The sequence below is a fragment of the Homo sapiens genome, chromosome 1 (assembly GCF_000001405.40).
Source record: "Homo sapiens chromosome 1, GRCh38.p14 Primary Assembly".
NCBI lineage: Eukaryota > Metazoa > Chordata > Mammalia > Primates > Hominidae > Homo > Homo sapiens.
In genome coordinates, this window is record NC_000001.11 from 204,626,247 (window position 1) to 204,649,317 (window position 23,071).

Sequence of the window (23,071 nt, forward strand, 5' to 3'; positions counted from 1 at the left end):
GCCCTCTTCATCTGCCCTCTCCCACCTCACACCCCCTACCAAAATGCTCACACCTACCTTCTCTTTTCACTTCTGGCCTTGTCCTGTACGGTGGCCTCTTTTGGGCTTTCCTGCTCACCTGAGAGAGCCACACTTCCCCTGACTGCCTCTCATTCCCAGACACACCACACCCTGGCTATTTTTCCTTCCACACCTTGGGCCTCTCACTGTGCCTGCCGTGCCCTTTCCCAACTTCAACTATTCAACTCCTCTTCAGCCATGAAAACCCATCCCAAATGCCACCTCCCCTGTGACGCTTTCCCTTAGAGAAGAGTGGTTCCTCCCACAGCTGCCCCCGAGACTCTCTGAACAAACCACAGTGGCAACTTCCTCACTGTTAGGCCATGAGTCTGTCTTCCCAACCAGACTGAGAGCTCCTCGAGGAAAGGATGGTTTGTTACGGATTTTTGTGTCCCTAGAGCCTAGTACCGTGCACTTTCCCTTGCAGGACTGAGGGGTGCTCTGCCGTGAACTGTGAATCACAACCCATTAGTAGGTCATGAAAACAATTTAACGTGGGTCACGATCTACATTAAAAAAATGAATAGAAAATATCATACTGCATTGTATGCGGCCAGACTAAGCATTGTTTTGAGATGCTGCCCCCTATTTTATACACACGCATTTGTGCACTGGGACATGATACAAGGCTTTTTCTTTTTTCTTTTTCTTTTTTTTTTTGCCTAGGGCTGTAGCTATAAAAGCTTGAAAACCATTACTCTGAGAATCTCTCTGTTGGGAAAATGAGTCCCTTCAACTCTAGTTGTTGCCACTGGGATGCTAACAGAAAGCAAAGTCTCAGAGGAAAGATGTGGCATTCCTGAGTGTCTTCCATGTACCAGGACTTCTATTTGCTAGCCACTTTATGTTCCTCATCCCATCCTTCTGTGAGGGACATACTTTTCAGATGAGAAACGTAAGCTCCGCGAAGCTAAGGGGCCGGACTGAGGTCCCACAGCGAGAGTGTGGAGGAGCCAGGATCCGAACCCCATCGCCAGCCCTTGCCAGTTCCATGATTCCGGTGCCAGCGCTCGCCTGACCTCCAGGGCTGTCATGGTGGGAAGGGACTGGAGGGCATCTGCTGGGCAAAGGTGAGGCTTCTTTGTTCATACTTGCCCTCCCCTCGTCTCTGGAATGAGAGGGGTCAGGGTTCCAGGAAACCCCCCTTGTTGGGCCTGGGAGGGGAGGGACTGTCCCCAGGCAGGAATCTCTGTCTTCCCAGGTCTCCTGGCTGGCCCAAGCAGAGAGTGTTAGAGCTCTGCTGCCTGGAAGGCAGCCTACCTCATTATTTCTTAATTAGGAGTGGAAGGTGCCAGTAGGTAGCACAGAGTCATTGCTGTCTGCGTGCACTGCACCAAAAAAGGCTGCAGGGGAGCCGAGCCAGCCTGTTGGGGGCACGGAGGCAGCTCCAGGCTGCATCTCACTGCCGCTTGCTGCCAGTCTTTTGCTGATCCTCAGGGAAAACTTTTCTGACCCCCTGCACCCATCTCCTGGGCTCCCATGATGCCCTAGTGTGCCTCCATCCTAAACTGGCTGGCTTGCTGTCTCCCCGACCAGACTGTGAGCTCCTCTGAGGCAGGAACTGTGCTTCAAGTTGCCAGTTCTTCCAACAGTCTGGACACAGTGGTAGCTCAGAGAATATCCGGAGAAGGAAAGAAAGAAAGAGGGAGGGAGGGAAGAAAAGAAAAGCAAGGCAGGCAAGGCAAGTGGGGAGGGAGGGGGCTGGCTATTTCAGAGCTCAGGTGGCTCCATTGCCTATGGGGTGGGCAGTGTCTGGGCTCAGACCCCCTGCCTCCTTCCTTCCTGACAGGAAAGAGACAAACATCATCCCAGAGCCTGTCTTCCCTGGGCAATACCCGGGCCACTCCAGACATGGCGTCTTTAGCCCTTCCTTGGTCACTGGCCCCCAGGTGAAGAGAGCATTTTTCTCTGACTCAAGTTCTTGCCTCTGGATTTGCCAAGCTCCTATGACAGTCTTCGCCCTTCTGAAGCTCTCTCAGGCTCCCCTTCCAGAAATCCCGCAGGTTCCACCGACCTCTCTGAGAGCACAGGCGAGTGGTTGAACGGTGGGCTTTAGAGACGGCGCGGCACCAGAGTCCTGTACTGGCTGTGTGATCCTGAACCTCCTCACTGAGATTCTCATCTGCAAGATGGAGACAGACCTGCCTCATAGCGAGGGGGAATCTGAAAAAGATGTCTAGAGAGTGCCCGGTGCTCATTAGAGTGTCCTGCCCTTTTTATCCACTTCGATTTGTTGGAGGCACATTTCCCTGGGGGCGCTTCGAGACCATCTTTGTACTAGGCCAGCCTGATGCTGGCCTATCAGGGTACTTGGTCTCTAAGGCAGGCAACCTCTTCCTTGGAACCTTCCCAGTGCAGGTGACACTCCTTCCTAACGGAGCTGCCCTGTCCGATGTCAACTATAAGCACTCCCTGCAGTCTCCAACCGGGGTCCTAGTTCTAGTCTTCCGGACAGCTCTAGGACTCAGTTCATTTAAAGATCATTGGTGTTGGACACAACTCTCACCCAATAAACAACTCAGCACCAGCTCCTCCTGGCTTAGGGGAGCAGCTCCTCTGCTTCCCCACATGCTCTCCAGAAGGGTCAAGAGCGCCCCTCCCAGAAGAGTTCTAAATGTCCCAGCTGATGGCCTCCCATAGACATTCCATGCTGGCCACAGTTGCAGGCCTCAGATGGGCAGCCAAGCCCAGTGCTGACCCATGAGCTTCTCCACCTCTCTGCGTCAGGAGTCAGGTGGGGGTGCTGAACAGACCCTGTAGCATGGCTCCTCTAGCAGTCTGGGCCCCAGGACATCCCTTTAGCCCCAGTGGATCCCTGGGACAGAGGCAAGGGCGGGGGGAAGGGGAGGGAAGACCCAAGAGCAATACAAGTGATAGTCTCTCCTGTCCCATGCCTTCACACATGCAGGGACCTTGCCACAAGTCCCCTTCCTCACCTGCATATCTGGGGAATTCCTTTCCATCTCTGAAGTCATAGTTTATGCTGCACCCCTATGTGGTCTTTCCTGACGACCAGGCTCTACCACCAACTCAAAATAATCAGTCCCTTGCTCCTTCCTCCACCCTCAAGGATCCACATCCACAAAGAAAATGTGCTACATATACACTGATATGGTTTGGCTGTGTCCCCACCCAAATCGCCTCTTGAATTGTACTCCCATAATTCCCGCGTGTTGTGGGAGGGAGATAATTTGAATCATGGGGGCAGTTTCCCCCATACTATTGTTGTGGTAGTGAATAAGTCTCACAAGATCTGATGGTTTTATCAGGGATTTCTGCTTTTGCATCTTCCTCATTTTCTCTTGCCGCCACCATGTAAGAAGTGCCTTTCACCTCCTGCCATGATTCTGAGGCCTCCCCAGCCATGTGGAACTATAAGTCCAATTAAACCTCTTTTTCTTCCCGGTCTCAGATATGTCTTTATCAGCAGTGTGAAAACAGACTAATACATGCACCATGGAATACTACACAGGCATCAAAAGAACATGGCCTTTGCAGCAGTGTAGGTGGAGCTGGAGGCCATCGTCCTAAGCAAATTCACGTAGGAACAGAAAACCAAATACCACATCTTCTCATTTATAAGTGGGAGTTAAGTATTGAGCACACATGGACATAAATATAGGACCAGCAGACACTGTGGACTACTAGAGGGTGTGTGGGGGGGTTAAAAACCTATATATCAGGTATATGCTCACTACCAGGGTGACAGGAGCCGTACTCCAAACCCCAGCATCATGCAATTTTCCTCAGTAACAAATCTGCACATGGACCCCCTATACATAAAATAAAAATTGAAATAAAAATCCACATCAAATACAATGCTCATCTTCTGTCTCTCAGACTGCAAGCTGCTCGAGCACGGGGACAGTGGCTTTATGGCCCTGGATGAACAGAGGGAAGCACCACTGCTTTCGAGGTGAATGAGGCCTTAGTTAAGGAGGTTTGGGTTTCCTGCCTCCAAGTGTCAGTGGTACTGAGGAAAGGACCCTCAGGGAAGGGTCGGGTGGGGGTGGGTGAGGCCTGGTCGGAGGGGCTGGGCTCTGGCGGCTGAGGAGACAGGGAGGCAGAGAATGGGGAGCAGCCCAGTTAAACATGGAGAAAGGCCAAGCCCCTTCTAACGGAAAAGGAAAATAAAATCAGAATGAAAATTGATGAGGCGGAGAGAAAAAGAGACTCATTTCATCAGCGGGTTTGCCAGATGAAGCTCTAGATAAGTCACGCCGCGGAAGGAGTCCTGGTCTCGGGGGCGCTGCCTGCTCCCTGTCAGCTGTCCAGGCAGCCCGGAGATAAATGGCTGCAGCTGAGGCCCGGGTTTGTCTTTCCTCCCCACTAACCGCAAGACAATGGCCTGTCCGTCCTGGCCACCTCCTCCAATGCCCTGGCCATTCCCTTCCCCAGGACCTCTCCTGTGCCCCTCCCCAGTCCCACAGGCCTCTCCCTGGGCAGTCCCTCTGCACTCCCCCTTGCCAGGGCAGGCCGGTGGACAGTGTTTCTCAGAGGCTGCTTCCTGCCTTCCACTCCTTACCCATCTCCAAAGCCAGATGGGGGAAGCAGGGCTGGTAGATGCAGCATGGGACAGGACTGGCTCTACTCCTGGCCTGGGGACAGACTTTGGATGGTGTCTTCTTCCTTCTCTAGGTCTTGGGTTTCTCATCTGCAAAATGAGGGAGTTGGGCTAGAGCAGCGGTTCTCATACTGTAGTCCCCGGACCAGTAGTCTACGCATCACCTGGAAACTTGCTAGAAGTGCGAGTTCCTTGGCCCACCCAAGACCTCCAGAATCAGAAACTCTGAGGGTGGGCCCTAGTCTAGTCACCTGTGTTTGAACAAGCTCTGCAGGTGGTTCTGATGCATGCTGAAGTTTGAGGATTGCTGGCTAGCTCATCTCTAACCTCCTCTCCAGCTCAGATTAGAAGTCTACAAACCAAGAAGAGTGATACCTAGAGTGTTCTATATATATATATATATATATATATATATATATATATATATATATATGAAGAGCTGCTTATACCCTGACAGATTAGGTTGGGTTTTCAAGACTCCCCTCACCTCCTCTGTCCTGGCCACAAGGGAACTCTTATCCATTGAGCATGAAATAGATCCCTGACCTTATCCCAGGCACTGTAAGTATGTGAGGGCTGCAAATACAAAGTTATGAGGAGGGCAGGTGGGGATTCACAGGTTAAAAAGAAAACTAAACCAGTGTACCAGAGGATGATAAAAGTTGTCACAGAGCAAGGGCAGCAGGGCACAAGCTAGGGGAGACAGCATGATTCTACCTCATGTAGGAAGTTAGACAAACATTCAGAGGAATTTACTAAAAAATCACTGTACACTAAAAATGGCTGAATTTGATGGTATGCAAATTAAACTTCAATAAAGCCATTGAAAAATTCACAGGGGTAGTGTTGCTGGGAATCCATAGGCCAGTAATGCATAGATAGGAGACACTAGGAGCAAAGGTCCCAAGATTCAAACATATGAAGTGAGTTCCAAGCAGTGAGTGGCTCCCCGTGGGTCTTGAGAGTGTGGGTGATGTGATGAAGATGTTGGAGCAGCAAGCCAGAGGCAGAATGGTCTGGACACAATACCCAGGCAGAGGCCAGCCAAAGGAGGCATATAAGGCAGTAACCAGCTGGGAGCAGTGGCTCATGCCTGTAATCTCAGTGCTTTGGGAGGCCAAGGGAGGCTCATTTGAGTCCAGGAGTTTGAGACCAGCCTGGCCAACACAGTGAAACCCTGTCTCTACCAAAAAACAAACAAACAAACAAAACACCTATGTGGGTGTGGTGGCTCATACCTGTAGTTCTAGCTACTTGGGAGGCTGGGGTGAGAGAATCGCTTGAGCCCAGGAGTTCAAGCCTGCAGTGAGCTATGACTGCACAACTGAACTACAGCCTTGGCAACAGAGCAAGACCCTGTCTCTAACAATAAAAGCAAACTTAAACCCAAACAAACAAAAGGCAATAGCTACAACAGCCATCAATAATAATAGGCTGTTCAGATCAAATGCACCTTGCAATTAAAATTCTTCCATATTGGCCGGGTGTGGTGGCTCACACCTGTAATCCCAGCACTTTGGGAGGCCAAGGTGGGCAGATCACTTGAGATTAGGAGTTTGAGACCAGCCTGGCAACAAGGTGAAACCCCGACTCAATTAAAAATACAAAAATTAGTGGGCCTGGTGGCATGCACCTGTAATCCCAGCTTCTCAGGAGGCTGAGGCAAGAGAATCACTTGAACCCAGGGGGTGGAGGTTGCAGTGAGCTGAGATCATGCCGCTGCACCCCAGCCTGGGTGACAGAGTGAGACTCTGTCTCAAAAAAAAAAAAAAAAAAATTCGCCACGCGCAGTGGCCCACACCTGTAATCCCAGCACTTTGGGAGGCCGAGGCGGGCGGATCACAAGGTCAGGAGATGGAGACCATCCTGACTAACACGGTAAAACCCCGTCTCTACTAAAAATACAAAAAAAAATTAGCCAGGCGTGGTGGCGGGCGCCTGAAGTCCTAGCTACATGGGAGGCTGAGGCAGGAGAATGGTGTGAACCCGGGAGGTGGAGCTTGCAGTGAGTCGAGACCACATCACTGCACTCCAGCCTGGGCGACAGAGCGAGACTCTGTCTCCAAAAAAAAAAAAAAATTCTTCTGTATTCACAATCCTATGTTGCTATGGTCTGAATATATCCCACAAAATCCATGTATTGGAAACTTATTCCCCAGTGCAACAGTGTTGGGAGGTGGGGCCTTTTGGGACGTGTTTAGGTCATGAAGAAATAAATTACTGTTTTAAAAGGGCTTGACAGAGAGAATTTTTTTTTTTTTTGGTCTGTCTACCTTCTGCCATGTGAGGAAACAGCATTCGAGGCACCATCTTGAAAGCAGACAGCAGCCTTCACCAGATGCTGGCACCTTGTCTTGGACTTCCCAGCCTCCAGAACTGTAAGAAATAAATTTCTATTCTTTATGAATTACCCATTCTGTGGTATTCTGTTATAGCAGCACAAATGGACTACGATCTATGTGATTCTCACGGTAGCCCTCTGAAGTCAAAGGGGCCATTATCCTCATTTTAGTGGAAAGAAGATAAGTGACTTGTCCAAGATCACACCTAAACAAGTAATGAGGCTGAGGCCAGAAGATACAGTATGCTTCCAAGTCCAGTCTTTATTTTTCCAGTGAGAGGGCAATGATAATAATGGTAGTCATTGACTGAGCACTGATTAGTAGCCAGGCTTTGGGCTAGGTGCCTCACCAGAGTGATTGTGTTGAATGCTCACAGTAAGAGCGTGATGTGGAAATTACTAGCCCCACTTCTCAGATGTGAGAAGTAAGGTACCAAGCCCAGAACATTCAGTTGGTAAAGCCAGGACTCAAACTTGCTTCTGGCTGGCCCTAACACCTGTGCTCTAACCCCGATCCCACATCACCCTCTCCAGTCCCCGCTGCCCAGCTCTCCTTCCACTTCCTCAAGCCTGGAATAGAATGAGGAGATTTCCAGTTGACTTATTCAAGCTCCGTTGGGCCTGGGCCAACCCAAGAGAAAGAAACTGGCCCCTGGCCTAAGCTCGGCAGCCCTTCTTCAAGAGAACGCCCTTTCCAATCTGGCAGAGGCTTCCTCTCCTCCACACCCATCCACGCCTTCCAAGCCCAGTGTACCTGCTGCAGGACCAGCGGCTCCCAGAGCCCCCAAGCCTGTGGAAGGAAATGCTTCCATCTGTGATCAATAACAGGCATAATTCAATGACTGCGGCAAGTACAAAAGAGTGTAGGTTAAATCAATATTTAGAAGCTTTGAAATTAAACTAATTAAGAGCAAGCCTTAATGATTTTTACTGTCTGGGAATAAAAAAGACAAAAAGCCCACCTATATTTCATGATTTTACTTTAGTAGCTTGTAATAATTTGGGAAGAGCAGAAAATGAAAAGTGCTCTCAGCCAGCCCTATGTCCTGAATTGCAGGGGAGGGGAGCACCTGGTCCTTGGGAATAGAAGACGTGGAGGAGAGAATGAATGGGATGGAGCCCGCTGTGCAAACAGCATGTTGTAAAAGGCCCTTGGCTTGGAAGTCAGGGACTGTTATGGGTTGAAGTGTGTTCCTCAAAAAGATATAGTGAAGTCCTAACCCCCAGTACCTATAAACATGACCTTATTTGGAAATAGGGTCTGAAGATGTAATCATCTGATGATGAGGCTGTTATGGAAGGCCCTAATTCAATATGACTGGTATCCTTATAAGAAAAAAAAGCCATGTGAAGACAGAGGCACACAGGAAGGTGCCATGTGCCACGGAGACAGATGGAAGTGCTACAGCTGTGTGCCAAGGAACACCACCAATTGATGGCCACCACCAGAAAGCAGGAAGAGGCAAGAAAGAATCCTCCTCTACAGGTTTCAGAGCGAGGATGGCCCTGCCGACACCTTGATTTTGAACCTCCAGCCTCCAAATCTACAAGACAATATGTTTATGTTGTTTTAAGCCATCCAGTAACATAGGCATCCTGAGTTCTAGTTCCTGCTCTGCTACTTACTAACTGTGCAAGCTTGGGCAAGATGCTTTATTTCTATGAGCCTCAGTTTTCTCTACTGAAAAATGGGACTAAGACTAGTACTATCCCTTTTTTACAGAGACGTACAGCTCAAATGAAAATATGAGTGTGAAATATGCATGGTGAGCTGAGAAGTGCTATACAGATATGACCTAGGCTCACTGCATAGTGGAAAAAATCTGGGAAGGGATTCAGGAGCTATTGGTCAGGTGGGCAGGAAGTTTCCTGCCTACTCACAGGACCATTCTAAAGATCCGATCAGATCACAGGTGTGAGTTCACTCTGCTTTGTTAGAGATATATGCATAAAAGATGTTTTTGTTGTTCTCAACAAGGATCTTATTTGCTGACTACTGAACCCTAGTTTTCTCATCTGTAAAATAAAAGCGTTGGACAATATTATTTTAAGGGTATTTTCCAGCATTATTCTCTGGGCTTATATATATTTACATATAAGTAAATATTAATATATAAATATTTTAAATGTAATGTGTCTTGGCAGCCCCAACCTTGTTCTCATCCTTAAACCTCTCTCCGCAGCCCAGTACAATTGAGAGGGTGTCATCCTAGCTCATGGAGAGAGGTCAGGACTACTCTGGGGCTTTGCTCACCTCTGCTCCCTGCTGCAGGGTTTAAGGGAGAGAGAACCACAGCAGTTGTCCAGTCCTCTCTTGAGTGTACCAGGCATGAAGGGAACAGGAAACCATGCAGGCAGCAAATAAAATCTCTATCGATCACGAGATGGCTGGTATCCCAAACCCGGCTGGCTCCCAGAACCGTTCATCTTAAATAAATGTTCCTAATGACCCACTCATACTTAACACCAGAGCTCTGTCTTAAAGTGCAGTGGAAAAGGGCAGCTGAGCAAGGAGCTGCTGCTGCTCTGCTGAGCCTCTTTCTTGGCTGCAAAGGTAGAAGGTTCTCAGGTGGTCTCAGAATTTTGGAAGGAGCTGCACCTTGCAGCAGTGACAATCCCAAATGGAAGGACCAACCTTCCTGCCGTGTAACAACCAACATTCTTCCAGGACGAGCATCGCTGCAGGGAATGAGCATCTGTTGGCACATCGCCCTCACAGGGACAGGCAACAGCAGCAGCATCACCAGGAATATCAACTCATTATCACAATGCCATCGTGAGATTTACCTCCACCATCACTATGGTCAGCACACCTGCAGCCGGCCATCTCTGTTAATGTCACCAGCCCCATCTTTGCCATATGAATCCCCTGCTCGCTGCCATGACCACACTCACTTAATACCTTCCACGAGCATCGTCATCTCCTCCAGCCACTGTCACAATCCTGGTCATCATAGCTACCCTGATCACCATCAGAACATGCGTATGGCCTCATTGCTGTGATGCATACAGAACCTGAAACAGACGCGGCTTCTGTAATTGGTAAATACACATTGGATAATGAGATCCCCCAATAATGCTAACATGAAAATAAGTGGATTCACATGCACACAGAGGGGCACACTAAAAGAAGGATGATCATGGACTTAAAAATGACAATCATTTGCATCCCGTTATCTCTGTTTTTCAACTCTGGCTGCACCATAGAATTACATGGGGATCTTTTAAAATATACTAATGCTGGCCAGGCACAGTGGCTCGTGCCCGTAATCCCAATACTTTGGAAGGCCAAGGCGGGAGGTTTGCTTGAGCCCAGGAGTTTGAGACCAGCCTGGGCAACATAGTGATCTGAAAAACTTAGGGGCATCCGCACAGAGCAGAGCTGGCCAACTGGTCTTGCTGTGGGCAGTGGGCTACAAGGTGCATGCCTGTAGTCCTAGCTACTCAGGAGGCTGAGACAGGAGGATCCCTTGAGCCCAGGAGGTCAAGGCTGCAGTAAGCCATGATCGCATGACTGCACTCCAGCCTGGGAGACAGAGGGTGACTCTGTCTTTTAGAATAAATAAAATAAAATATATTGATGCCTACCTCCCACTCTAGACCAATTAAATCAATCTCTGAGTAGGGTCCACACACGGTGTTAAAAAAAACTTCCCAGGATTTCTTTGTAAATTTTATGTCAAAAGAAAAACATTGTAAGCAAAAATTGAACCCCATAGCTGTTGATACTGAAATATTTAGGGAAAAGTGTACTGATGTCTGCAATTTGCTTTGAAATGCACCAAAATTAAGATGGATTGATAGATAGAGGAATGGATAGTTGGAGAGAGAGGTGATAAGGCAAGTCTAATAATAAGGTTAATGGTAGAGTCTAGGTGGTGGGTAGATGATTGCTCACTGTAAAATTCCCTTTACTGTGCGGTATGTTGGAATTTTTCATAATAAAGTATTGGGGGGAAAATCCCCAAATGGTTTGAATGTGAAGCCAGGACTGAGAACTATTACTTCTGAAGGAAAAATCCATAAAGCAAATGAGCTTCTTTCCTCTGCCGTCCACATGTGAAAGAACATCCCTACTTTCTCATCAAACCAATCAGATCTAGCCCAATGCTTTCTAGCCCAATGCTTCCCAGCCCTTCTCAAGCCAGGGCACATATAGATGAGTGTATTTGTACAGTGCACCAGGGGAGAGGGTGGTGGCTGCTGGCAGCCAGAGGGAGCGGCTCAGGGAGACGCTTGGTTGCCCCAGGCCCCACAGGGCTGCCCTGAGTGCCAAGGGCTGTGCCTGGAGTCCACTGTCCACAGCCAGACCAGCTGACCAGCTCTGCTCTGTGCAGATGCCCCTGAGTCTCCCAGTTCTAAACCACAGCTCAGCATTCTTAGCAAGGATTAAATCCTTTCCCAGACCAGAGTCTGCCTATTGCAGCACGTGACGTGTGTGTGTGTGTGTGTGTGTGTGTGTGTGTGTGTGTGTGTGTGTGTTTGGGGGCAGTCGCTGAGAGGGTGGTAGAGAGGACTCCTCTGCGGGAAGGCCCCGACCCCCGGGCCTCATCTGTATGCTCCTCCACACCCTGCTCACCCTGTGGGGGAGTGCCATGGCAACACCGTGCTCTTTAAACACAGGAGTTTGTGCTCCCATCGCAAAGCAGCATTAGGCAATTTAATTAAGGAGCTGGCAGCAGACAAACTTTGTGAGTTAAAGGCATTTTATTAAATCCCATTGTATTATGCAGCTCAATTCCCCCAGGAGCTGCGGAGCTGGGGGAGGACAGAGGAGAATGTACTAGGGTTTTCTTTTCCTTTCCTTGCTTTTCTTCTGGTCTCCCTCCCGCCTCGTGAAAGCATTCACTGAGCGTAGGGGGACCCCAACAGTGATTGCCTGCTCTCACCCACCCACCCCCCGCCCCGAACATCAGGCCTTGGCATGAGGCCTGCAGGCAGAGGCCTGGGGAATATAATCACCAGCACTGATCTCACGCACTACTGTTCGCAGAGCCAGAGCGCTGTCATGGTGATCTGGGGCCAGGCCTCCGACCTGCTTTAGTGTTCACAACAGGACTCGGCTCTGTGATTTTGTGCACCATTTCATTGAATCCCCCCGCACCGTTGGAGTCAGAACTACTGGCACCCTTATTTTACAGGCAAGGAAACTGAGGCTTACAGATGTGAAGTAACTTGCCCAAGGTCTTCCTTTTTTTTTTTTTTTTTTTTTTTTTTTGAGACGGAGTCTCGCTCTGTCGCCCAGGCTGGAGTGCAGTGGTGCGATCTCGGTTCACTGCAACCTCCGCCCTCTAGGTTTAAGCAATTCTCTGCCTCAGCCTCCGGAGTAGCTGAGATTACAGGCATGTGCCACCACACCCGGCTAATTTTTTGTATTTTTAGTAGAGATGGGGTTTCACCATCTTGGCCAGGCTGGTCTTGAACTCCTGACCTCGTGATCCACCCACCTCGGCCTCCCAAAGTGCTGGGATTACAGGCGTGAGCCACCGCGCCCGGCCAGGTCTTCTAAGTAGTACATAGCGAGGAAGCAATCCTAGACTTGCCAAGAGGCCATGTGGAGATCTTTAGGGCCCCATGATGCCTAATCTGTGCCAAGTGAAGCAGGGCTCAGGGCTTCAGGGCTTTCAGTGAAATCCCAGACCAAAGAAGCTGTTCATCTGCCTGGCTAGTGGGACGCCACCCCCAGGCTCCTGCTCCCAGGCTGGGGAAGGGTTTTGGGGGCTCCGTGAGCCTGCTGAATGACCCTGCCCTGAGATGGCCATCGCCTGGCAGGGCAGCCTCAGCTCCCACCTTTGAAAGTCTTTCCCCTGTGAGCAAGTGGTGGCACGGCCCCCTGGGTAGCTCTGGAGAGGGCGATAGGCCTCTAGGAGGCTCCTGGGCCATAAGGGCTCTCTCAACCTCCCTAGCTGGTCAGCCTGGCTTGATGGAGAGAACCCAGGCTTAGCAGCCCAGAGCTGTGCATTCCAGTGCCAGGTCCCCACTGAGCAAGGGGTGACACGTCTTTTACTCTACAAAGATTCATTGAGCCCAATCCTGTGTACAGGATCACAGAGATGAATAAGACAAGGTGCTGCCCTCCAGACATGTACAGAGAAACATCCTCCTGGGCTCAGTTTCCTCAATTCTAAAATGGGAGTAATAGCCGGGCATGGTGGCTCATGCCTGTAATCCCAGCACTTCGGGAGGCCCAGTTGGGAGGATCACTTGAGGCCAGGAGTTCAAGACCAGCCTGGGCAACAAGTGAGACCCCCGTCTCTATAACAACTCTTTTTAAAAACATTAGCCTGTTGTGGTGGTGCACACTTGTAGTCCAAGCTACTTGAGAGGCTAAGGCAGGAGGATTGCTTGAGCCCAGGAGGTGAGGCTATAGTGAGCTAAGAATGCACCATCGCACTCCAAGCTTGGGTGACAGAAGGCACTGTCTCTAAAGTAAGTAAATAAATAAATATAATTTAGTAATGACATATGCCTTGTATAGCTAAAATAGATGCAATACAATTAGCTAATTTCATTAAGGGCTTACTCTCTGCCAGGCACTTGCCATTCACTATCTCTTTTAATCCTCATAAAACTCTATTATATTATTATCCCCATTGTGCAGATGAGAAAACTGAGGTTAAAAGAAGTTAAGCCTCCTGCCCAAGATCATACAGCTGGTAAGAAGCAAGAATCCATGCTCTTAACAAATCATATTATGATGTTACACACATACATACACATGTGTATATATTATATAATTATATATATTAACAACAGCTTTGAAATATAATTCATATACCATAAATTCACAATCACTTCATATTTGAAAAGTACATTAAATAGCTGGATTTGCCATGGTCTTAGTCCATTTGGGCAGCTATAACAAAATATTATAAACCAGGTAGCTTATAAACAACAGAAATTTATTGTTCACGGTTCTGGAGGCTGGGAAGTCCAAGATCAAGGAGCTGGCAGATTTGGTGTCTGGTGAAGGCCCGCTTCCTGGTTGATGGATGGAGGGCCATCTTCTCACTGTGTCCTCACATGGCAGGAAGGGAGAGGGAGCTCTCTGGGGTCTCTTTTATAAGGACATTAATCCCACTCAGGTGGGCTCCACCCTCATGAACCCACCTCCCAAAGGCCCTGCCCTGTAACATCATCACACTGAGGGGTTAAGATTCAACACAGAAACTTTGGGGAGACACAAACATTCAGACCATAGAGGCCACCAAACAAGGATGCGTTATTATTATCAGATAGAAGAAACAGTTTTCTGAAAGTGGGACTTCTCCCCCTCCTGGAAGGGCGTTCAGGGGCTGTAGCAAACGGAGCCTGTAGAACAGGCTGTGCAGCTCCTTCCGAGGAGACGGTGAGGCCTGGCTCCTCTCTCCCTTCCCCACCTCTTTTCTTGACTCTCCTGTCTCTTCTCTACCCCTTCCCCATGCTTGCTTTCCATCCCTCACCATCTTTTCTCACCCCATGAGGCCCTGAGGTTTCCATGAGGTTCTGGGATCTCCTCTACTCATCTCTACTCCCTTGTCCCACTGGCAGAGACTGAGCAACAGCTGCGGCCACTAGGTGACACCTTCAGAAGCCCCCAGATGGATGGTCATGTGTGTGGGGCAGGCTAGGGAGGACAGAGCTGGTTGCAGGGGAAGCAAAAAGGCTAACTCAAGACCACACAGTTCCACATCATTACCGCCCAAGTCTCCCAGGAAAACAGCAGCATTTGAGGGTTTGGCATTAAGAGAGTTAATGTGGATCTAAATCCAGGAGTTCTAATAACAGCTCTAGCACTTACCAGGGTTAAAAAAGAAAAAAAAAAAACAAAAAACATCCTGACAAATAGAGCCAGGGAAGGCCATGAAGAGAGGGTTCTCATGCCTGGATGCCTGATAACAAAAACTATCAAAAAGATTGCAAAAACCACAATCTTGCACAAAGACCATTGAAACCTTACACAAAAAATATTTCTGCAAGGACATCTGTCCACAGCTGGCTATCCAACCTCAGACTGGTATCACCCTTGTTATTGATCTTTGTAGCCTAGGATAATTATTTCAAAACAATTATGTAATCCTCCTCATCTTTTCTTTTAAAAATCTTTGTCTTCTTTTACCTTCCTGAATACACACATGTAGTTTACTATGGCATGCGGATTCCCAGTGCAATGCTCTATTCCAAAATAAGTATCTTTTTCTTTTAGAGAGCCTCTCTGTTCATTGTTTAGGTTGACACCAGCTATAGGACAACCTCACTGACCCCAGTTTCTTTTCATCTATGAAATGGGGATAAAAATATCTGCCTTGAATTTTAATAGGCACCACTTATTGAATGTTAACTATGTGTTGGGCCTTTCACAAAGCTTTAAAAAAATTTTAATCCACACAACAACCCTACGAGAGTAGTATTATATTTACTGATGGTGAAATGGAGGCTCAGAGAAGTTAAGCAACTGATCTGAGGTCACACAGCTAGTACATGTATTAACAAAAGCCACAATGTAAGTCTAGCTCTGTGTGATGCTGAAGCTGTCACTTTTCACCACCACACCAACTACCTGGCTGTGAGAGAGCCTATGGGATGTTGCATTTGAAAGTGTTTGTAAGTGCAAAACTCCAGAACAACTAAAGCAGGGGTCTTCCCCCACCCCTTCACATGGCTCTACTATAGCTCAGCTGGTTTTCTCCCAGTGAGGTAAGAACAAGGGCCAAACCCACTCTCCAATGCTGCAGGAGCTATGCACCCTCCTCTCTGCAGCCAGGGCTGCAGGTGTGGAAGAGTGTGTGTGTTGTGTATCTGTGCACGTGAGTGCATGTGTGTGTTAGGGGAGGTGGCAGGCAGAGGGTGCAGTGGCGGACCAGGTAAAGCAGCTTGGAGGGGAGCAGATTTGGAGGCTGTATTAGCCAGTGCTCTTGCTCTCCTGGGCACAAGGCCCAGATGGTGCCAGCTCATTTTCACAGCCATTTTCCCAGGGAATTAACAGGGGGAACATTCTCTCCTGTAATAATGATAAAAATAATAATAATTAACATGGCTGTAACTGACATTTCTCTAGCACCTCTCTCCCCAGACCTCAAAACTCTGGGCAAACAGCGAATCTACTGGCTTTATAGTCACATCCCTGGGACTGGGAAGCCTTAGGTGTTGCCAGATTTTCTGTCTTCTCCAGCTTGGAGACAGGTGCAGGTGTACATGGGACTGACCTGTGCCAGGAGCTACTCTTTGAATGCCACTGGCAGAGGGGTGAAATGACCCCAGGCAGCCTGCCTCCCGGCTCTGCGCTCCCATCAGCCCTCACATTTGGGTTCATCCTGTGCCCAGGAGTAGCAGGGTAGGCAAAAAGGTGCCAGCTCTCTTTGCCAAACTTTCAAACAGTCCCCAATCCACCCTCTATGCTCCACCACACAGCTGGCTCTGCCTCAGGAAGAACTGCCCCGGCCTCTGCAGCCAGCAGGGACCATGTCCGGCAGGACTCATCCCTACACGGGATAGCTGATGGCTTTCTCTGGTCCCAGCCAGAAGTCATTACCCACACAATGTCTAGTTTAAACAAGTGATTAGGCAGCTCTATTAAGAGCACACGTGCTTCCTGCCAGGGAGGAACATGAACCTGCAGAGGTAGCTGAGGGTGAGAGGGAGGAGGACATCAGGGTCTTGCAGCAACGGGCTCTTCTACAAAGCATTTTCCAGCCCATCCCCTGGAAGGTGCAGCACCTAAGTGTTTCACAAGCCAGCATCCTGAGGGGCTCAGAGCCTGATAGACTGTTTTTCGGACATGGAGTCAAATCCTGATTGTCGGGCAGCCCACCCACACCATGACGGACATGAAGAACCCTGAGTGATTTAAACAGACAGATAACCCAAAGCTCTCACTTTGGTCAGTGCTTCAACCTCCCCACACATGGGGTTGCCAACACACTCTTCTAAAACAATTACTTCATCTGAGTTACATTTATTTCCTTTGTTTTCTCCAGGAGCTTACGAACAGAGAAGGGGTCAGAAAAGGAGACATCGTCAGAAACTATGTATTTTATAAATGTGTTCCCCCAGCATCTCCAGAGAGAAAGCCTTCTTAATCTGAAGTCCTCAGTTGGACTGCAGAGTCTGGGAATTATCTGAAATTGCATGCAAACATGTTTGTTTGTGAATGTGAGCACAGGTGCATTTTTCCGGCAAGAAGGTCCATAGCTTTTATCAACTTTTGAGAGGGGTCTGTGGCCTCCCAAAACGTTAAGTGCTGTTCTAGTCCTTGCTTGGTTCTGAAGATGGTGGGTTGGCCCCTTTCCACGAAGATGACTGCATATTTTGGAATTCAAGGTGGATTTTGAGGCCTGGATTCCACCCATTTGAAGAGGGGGCGAGGATGAGGTTGGGGTGCAGCCGAAACAGAATCATGACAGGGAGTGTGTGCCAGGCAGAGCTGTGGCCGCCTCTAATCCAGAGGCGGTGATGGAGTGCCTTCCTCATCGCCTCATTTTTCCCATTGTGACAGCTCCATATCTACTGTTCCCTGTCACCCTGGTGACAGCCTTCTAATGATGAAGGCAGCAACAATGTCATATAAATTCCTCCAGAAACCCAGGGGCTAGAGGAAGATCAGCCTCAGGAAGCTGGGAACCAAATGCTCGGCACCACAAAGTGGAAAGAACAAAGCCTTTAGAATGTGAAAGACCTGAGTTCAAATCCTGCCCTGGCCTCTTCCCACCAGTGTGACCTTGAACAAATTACTGAACCTCTCTGAGTGTCAACTTCCATATTGTAAAATGAGAATAATATATGACAGAGTTATCATGAGGATTAAATGTGATATGCTGGCAGAGAATCTGACATAGTATCTAGCATGCAACAGGCACTCAATAAATGGGTTCCCTTTCCCAGCAGGCATGGGCAGGGACATGCATGCCTCTACCCATCTGCTGTACCACTGCAATATCAGAGAAAAGGAGGTCCTGGGGGGAACAGCTGCTTAGTAAAATGGGAGTGGTGGTCAGAAGCCACATTTCCCCTACACTGTTGACCACATTCTACCAAATCCTCACACCTGGCCCCTTCTCCTCCATGAAGCTCTCCTTACAGTGCTCTTCCCTGACATTCCACAGTTGCCATCTGGGCTTTCCATCTGTACCATGCAGCCTCCCTCCCTTTCTGTCCTGGTGATGGGGGAGGTCACTTTCTCTCCTTTCTCAAAGGGTAGACCCCTTGGCTGGCCTAGCAGCTCCCCCGACAGCCCCATGCCTGCCCACCTCTTCAGATCCTCTCCTCCTCTTCTTTTTCCCCTGCCCTGGACAGGAGCTGGCTGTTCTCTTTTGTGATTTCAGGTCTTTGAACCTGTTGTTCTGGAATGTCTTTCCATTCTCTTATTAGGGAGCTCATAATTATCCTCCAAGTGCCAGCTCAGTTGTCATCTCCTTTGTGACACCTTCCTTCTCTCCTCTTGCTCCCACAACACCTACCCTAGTTTAGCATGAGCCATGGCAAGTCCATCTGCCTCCCCAGACTGAGCTTCTCAAGAGCAGGGGCTGGCTGGGCCTCCCTCATCCCTAGCATCCCCTCACTTGGCATAGGGTCTGCACATGGTCAGTGCTCAATAAATGCAGCTTGGGGTAAAAGAATAAACAACATGGTTCCCAGGGCTAGCAGTGGGACCCTCTTAATAGAAGCTTCCTGTAAAGGTAGCAGTCCCTCCCCAAGGGTAGCTAGCTTGGGTCCTGCTGGAGCAGGCCTGTGTGTAGACTAGGTATGTGGGAGGTTGATGGTTAGAGGACTGATAGGCTCATCCCATCTGGATTCCACACCTATCTACTCCAAGCCACAGGGCAGGGCAGAGGGCTTTCGCCAGCTATCTAGTACTTTCTCCACCTTACACCTGCACAGAGAGGGAGAGGGTGAGGATGGGGTGGGGATGAAGAAGGGAATTCACAGTCATGAGCATTGACAGTGTCATAGGTCCAACTCTTGTGTGACTGGTATACTTAAATCATTATACAGATGGGGAAACTGAGGCGGCTTATTTGCCCAGAGGCATACAATAAGTTGCACTGAGCTAAAATTGGAGCCAGGTTGGTCTGGCCCTAGAGTAACAGTTCTTTTCTTTATAAGATGCTGCCTTCTGCAGAAATCACAAACAGCACCCCAAGGAAACAGGAACAGGGAAAGGCTCATGCTAAAACTTGTGTGTGTGTTGGCATCTCTCCTTAAAGAATGGGTGGAGAATGGGCTGGGTCAGTTGCTAAGGTGGCACTGGGCAGCCTTTCCTCCATCGTGTCTGGACATGGGTAAAAGAATGATTTCACAGTAGGGTTTAGGTCGACAAGGCACTTTCTCATATGTGTGATTGCATGCGGAATCATCATGGCAACTCTCTGAGGCAGGTATTACCATCTCCATGTACTGATAAGGAAACTTCAGAATGGCTGTGTATTAGTCCATTCTCACACTGCTATGAAGAAATACCCAAGACTGGGTAATCTGAAAAGAAAAGAGGTTTAATTGACTCACAGTTCTGCATGGCTGGGGAGGCCTCAGGAAACTTACAATCATGGCAGAAGGAAAAGCAAGAACCTTCTTCACAGGGCGGCAGGACGGAGTGAGTGCAAGCAGGGGAAATGCCAGGTGCTTATAAAAACCATCAGATCTCATGAGATTTATTATCATGAGAAGGGCATGGGGGAAACCACGCCCATGATTCAATTACCACCACTTGGTCCCACCCTTGACATGTGGGGATTATAGGGATTACAATTCAAGGTGATATTTGGGTGGGGAGAGAGAGCCAAACCATATCACTATGTTAGCACAGTGATTTCTCTCAGTAACAACCCAGGGCCTTTAGAGACCTGTCATCCCACCATGCTTGGCTACTTGCAATACCTGGCCAAAGTCTCAACCCCCAAAAAATGGGAGGGGGACCGGAGGAAAAAGTGGTGGCAGGGGAGGAAGACCTCCATGGTGAGAAAAGATGGGGAGGGGGGACTCCAGACACAGGTGAAATGGGAGAAGGGGCGTGGACCAGGCTGCCTGGACTGAACCAGCCCATCTCATTAGGGACCTGACTGCCTGTATTTTAGATCAGAAATACTTGACCTGACAAAACTTGGGATTTATTTCCATGCTTTCTTGGGGTAGGCTGTGTGCGTGTGTGTGTTATTTTTCGTTTAGTTTTTAGTGAACGTTCTTTTCAAAAAAACTACTCTTGTTTGAGTTGAAATTATGGGGAAACAGGGATAGTAGGCACCTGGGTTACTACAACCCAGGAGCAGTGCAGCCCCTCAGGGATGGCAGCTACAGTGGCAGACTCTGGGAGAGCTGGGGGAGCTGGCAGGGAGGAGGGAGAAGTTACATCCGGGGAACAATGGCTGCCAAGGCTAGATTTTCTCCCTTCATGAGAACCTGGGAGCTGGGACTCAGGCAAGATTCATGGGCCAGTCCAAACTGAGATGTGCTGGACAAGTCAATGTCCACCAGCTTTCAAAGATTCAATATGAAAAAAGAATGTGAAATATCTCATTCATGAATTTGTTATTGATTGCATTTTGAAATAATGTTTTTGATATATTGGGTTAATATGTTACTAATTTCACCTGTTTCTTTTGACCTCTTTAATAGGGCTTGCATTATATTTCTATTGGACATATATCTCTATATTCTAACATAGACTGTGGATTAGAAAGACTTAGGTTCAAATCCCACCTCCACCACTTGCTCAAGGACACTTGGCAGGTGAGCCCAGCTACAGCCACCAAAGACAAGATGAGCCCAGCCATGGGGAAAGAGCAACTGGATTCCAAGCCAGGGTTCCGTCTCAACCCAGAAGCTTTTACCCACTTCTTGTAGGGATGGCAGAGCCTCCACGAGTGTGGCTGGCTTGACTTTTGCTGCAATAGGCAAGGGGGTGCCCAAGAACTTGGCCTGCAGTGACTGGGATTGCAAGATTCTGATTCCAGGAAAGGAAGCAAGGAGGTTAAAAAAAAAAAAAAAAGGCTAGAAAGTTAAGGAGAAAAGAAGGCCTTAAAGAGACTGGTCTGGCAGGGTTAATAGTTTCTTTCCTTCAATAGAGATTTCATGCCACATTGAATAAATAAAATACCACACAATTGCAAAAGATGCATTCCACAGTATATTAGATACCACCACACTGTTACCCACATCTGTCAGCTACTACCATCAGAGTGACTGATGACTTATCAAAAGCCACTCTGACATTTCCAAATGAGATATTTTGATAGAGGTGCCATTCAACAGGGCCAAAAAAGCAGATAGAACTTGAATGTAAATGAGGAACATTTGTCACCTTTGTCTCACCTATTTAAAGGTTTCTTGTCTGACAACAAGGAAAGGGAGAGAGGGAGTGAGGGGAGAGGAGGTGGAGGATGGGCAGGTAAGAAGGTAAGAGGGAAGGGGAGAGAGCACCAACTCCAAAAGAGCCCAAAGGAGAAGGGCTGGTCCCTGAGAGCAGTAGGAAGTGAAAGAGAAGCAAAGCCCAGATGGACGGCTCTGATTTTTATGCGGAGTCACTCTATGACTCAGCAGGAAGGAGCAGTATCAAGAACAAAGACCAGAGCTGTCCAAGGTGGCAGCCCCACATGAGGCCACTGGGTATTTGCAATGTGGCCAGTCCAAATGGAGATGTGCTGGACATGTAAATGTACACCAGCTTTCAAAGATTTAATATGAAAAAAGAATGTGAAACATCTCATTCATGAATTTGTTATTGATTGCATTTTGAAATATTTTTGCTATATTGGGTGAATATGTTATTAACTTCACCTGTTTCTTTTTGCCTTTTTAATGCAGCTTGCATTATATTTCTATTGAACATACATTTCTATATTCTGACAGACTGTGGATTAGAAAGACTTAGGTTCAAATCCCACCTCCACCACTTACTCAGGGACACTTGGAAGGTGAGCCCAGCTACAGCCACTGAAGACAAGATGGGCCAAACCATAGGGAAAGAGCACAGGGTTGGAACAGGATGGGCTGGGGTTGGCAGCATGTGTGGAAACAGACAGTGGGGAAAATGTGAAGAGGAAAATGTCAGAGAGGTGCAGCCAACTGCACCTTCCCACAGTGAGAGAGGGCCTGGGCAGGGTGCAGAAGAAGCTGTAACCTCTCCCAAGGCTGCCCTCACTACTGGGTACATCTCAATGCCAAATCCCAGCATGTCAAGAGTTGGAAGAAGCCTGAAAGAGAATCCAATCCAGGGACCCCAAGAAAATAGGCCCAGAGCCAGGAAATTCCTTCCATGTGCTTTCCACTGCTTCCCCCGCAGCACCTCCAGTTCGTATGTCCACTGAATTGAGGGATGGTATCCAAGAAGCAACCGCTGCATACCAACAATGAGGTCCTCTTGTATGGCCCTGAGAGTTTTATTCAAGGGAGGCTTCACCTGCATGGACTTGTTACCACACAGTTGGTCTTCTAGCCTCGCCCCCCCACCCAACCTACTTTTTGGTTAGGTTGGTTTGATTCATTCATCCATTTATACTCTGCAGCTGTGTGCTGAGAACCAGGCCATGAGCTAGGGATACAGAAATAAATAAGACCCATCCCTGCCCTCCAGGACCACACAGTCTAGTGGTTTTGAAATGTGGAGCTGTTCAGACCACAGCCCCCAACCCTTAAGGTGGTGACCTTCCCCACTTTACAGCTAACTGAGATTACCCAGTGGTGGTGGCAGGCCCAGACAGAGATGGCTCCTGACCAGAACAGAGGCCTTTCCACTAGCCGAGCTGCCTCCACTGGCACATGGAGGGAGAGGCAGCTGCGTGGCGCTGGGATGAGGTCAGGCCAGAGTCATCAGAAGTCAGGTGGATGCACCAAAGCCCAGACCCTGGCTTCAGAAAGTACACCAGGTGAAGGGATTTGTGGAAGGCCACAGAGCAAATCAGCATCAAAGCCAGGACAAGAACTCAGGGTTTCTGATTCCTAACTAAACTCTTCAACCAGTGGCGGCGACTCAAAGAGGTGAATGAGCACAGGGCCAGTCTGCAGCCAGGAGCTGCAGCTGACTCCCTTACCTGCTGCTGCTCAGGATGCAGGGTTGGTTCTCGCCTAAGAGCAACCTGCTGAGGGTCAGGCGCTCTGGGCTGAACAGCCCCACATTCAGAAACCACTAGACTGTG

At 48.7% G+C, this 23,071-nt stretch overlaps 1 protein-coding gene and 1 long non-coding RNA gene across 10 annotated transcripts in view, besides 3 other annotated features; one reads left to right on the forward strand and one right to left on the reverse strand.

Annotated features, from left to right (window-relative positions):
• The window catches only part of LRRN2-AS1 (LRRN2 antisense RNA 1), a 65,547-nt gene extending 62,076 nt beyond the window's left edge, over window positions 1–3,471 (forward strand). For all 8 annotated transcript variants that reach the window (XR_007066814.1, XR_007066815.1, XR_007066816.1 and 5 more), the window contains 2 exons: window positions 727–1,130; window positions 1,850–3,471. This is a non-coding gene — a long non-coding RNA (LRRN2 antisense RNA 1). The remainder of the gene's footprint in view (window positions 1–726; window positions 1,131–1,849) is intronic.
• Window positions 1–23,071, reverse strand: part of LRRN2 (leucine rich repeat neuronal 2) — a 68,569-nt gene that overhangs the window by 9,077 nt on the left and 36,421 nt on the right. The gene's annotated exons all lie outside the window — the stretch shown is intronic.
• Window positions 10,733–11,270: an enhancer, noted in NCBI's record as "H3K4me1 hESC enhancer chr1:204606107-204606644 (GRCh37/hg19 assembly coordinates)". NCBI's record gives its function as "activates a minimal SCP1, AML or CMV promoter by ChIP-STARR-seq in naive H9 embryonic stem cells {active_cell/tissue: H9 hESC(naive)}" and the evidence as "EXISTENCE:reporter gene assay evidence [ECO:0000049][PMID:30033119]".
• Window positions 11,271–11,807: an enhancer, noted in NCBI's record as "H3K4me1 hESC enhancer chr1:204606645-204607181 (GRCh37/hg19 assembly coordinates)". NCBI's record gives its function as "activates a minimal SCP1, AML or CMV promoter by ChIP-STARR-seq in naive H9 embryonic stem cells {active_cell/tissue: H9 hESC(naive)}" and the evidence as "EXISTENCE:reporter gene assay evidence [ECO:0000049][PMID:30033119]".
• Window positions 21,254–21,924: an enhancer, noted in NCBI's record as "H3K27ac hESC enhancer chr1:204616628-204617298 (GRCh37/hg19 assembly coordinates)". NCBI's record gives its function as "activates a minimal SCP1, AML or CMV promoter by ChIP-STARR-seq in primed H9 embryonic stem cells {active_cell/tissue: H9 hESC(primed)}" and the evidence as "EXISTENCE:reporter gene assay evidence [ECO:0000049][PMID:30033119]".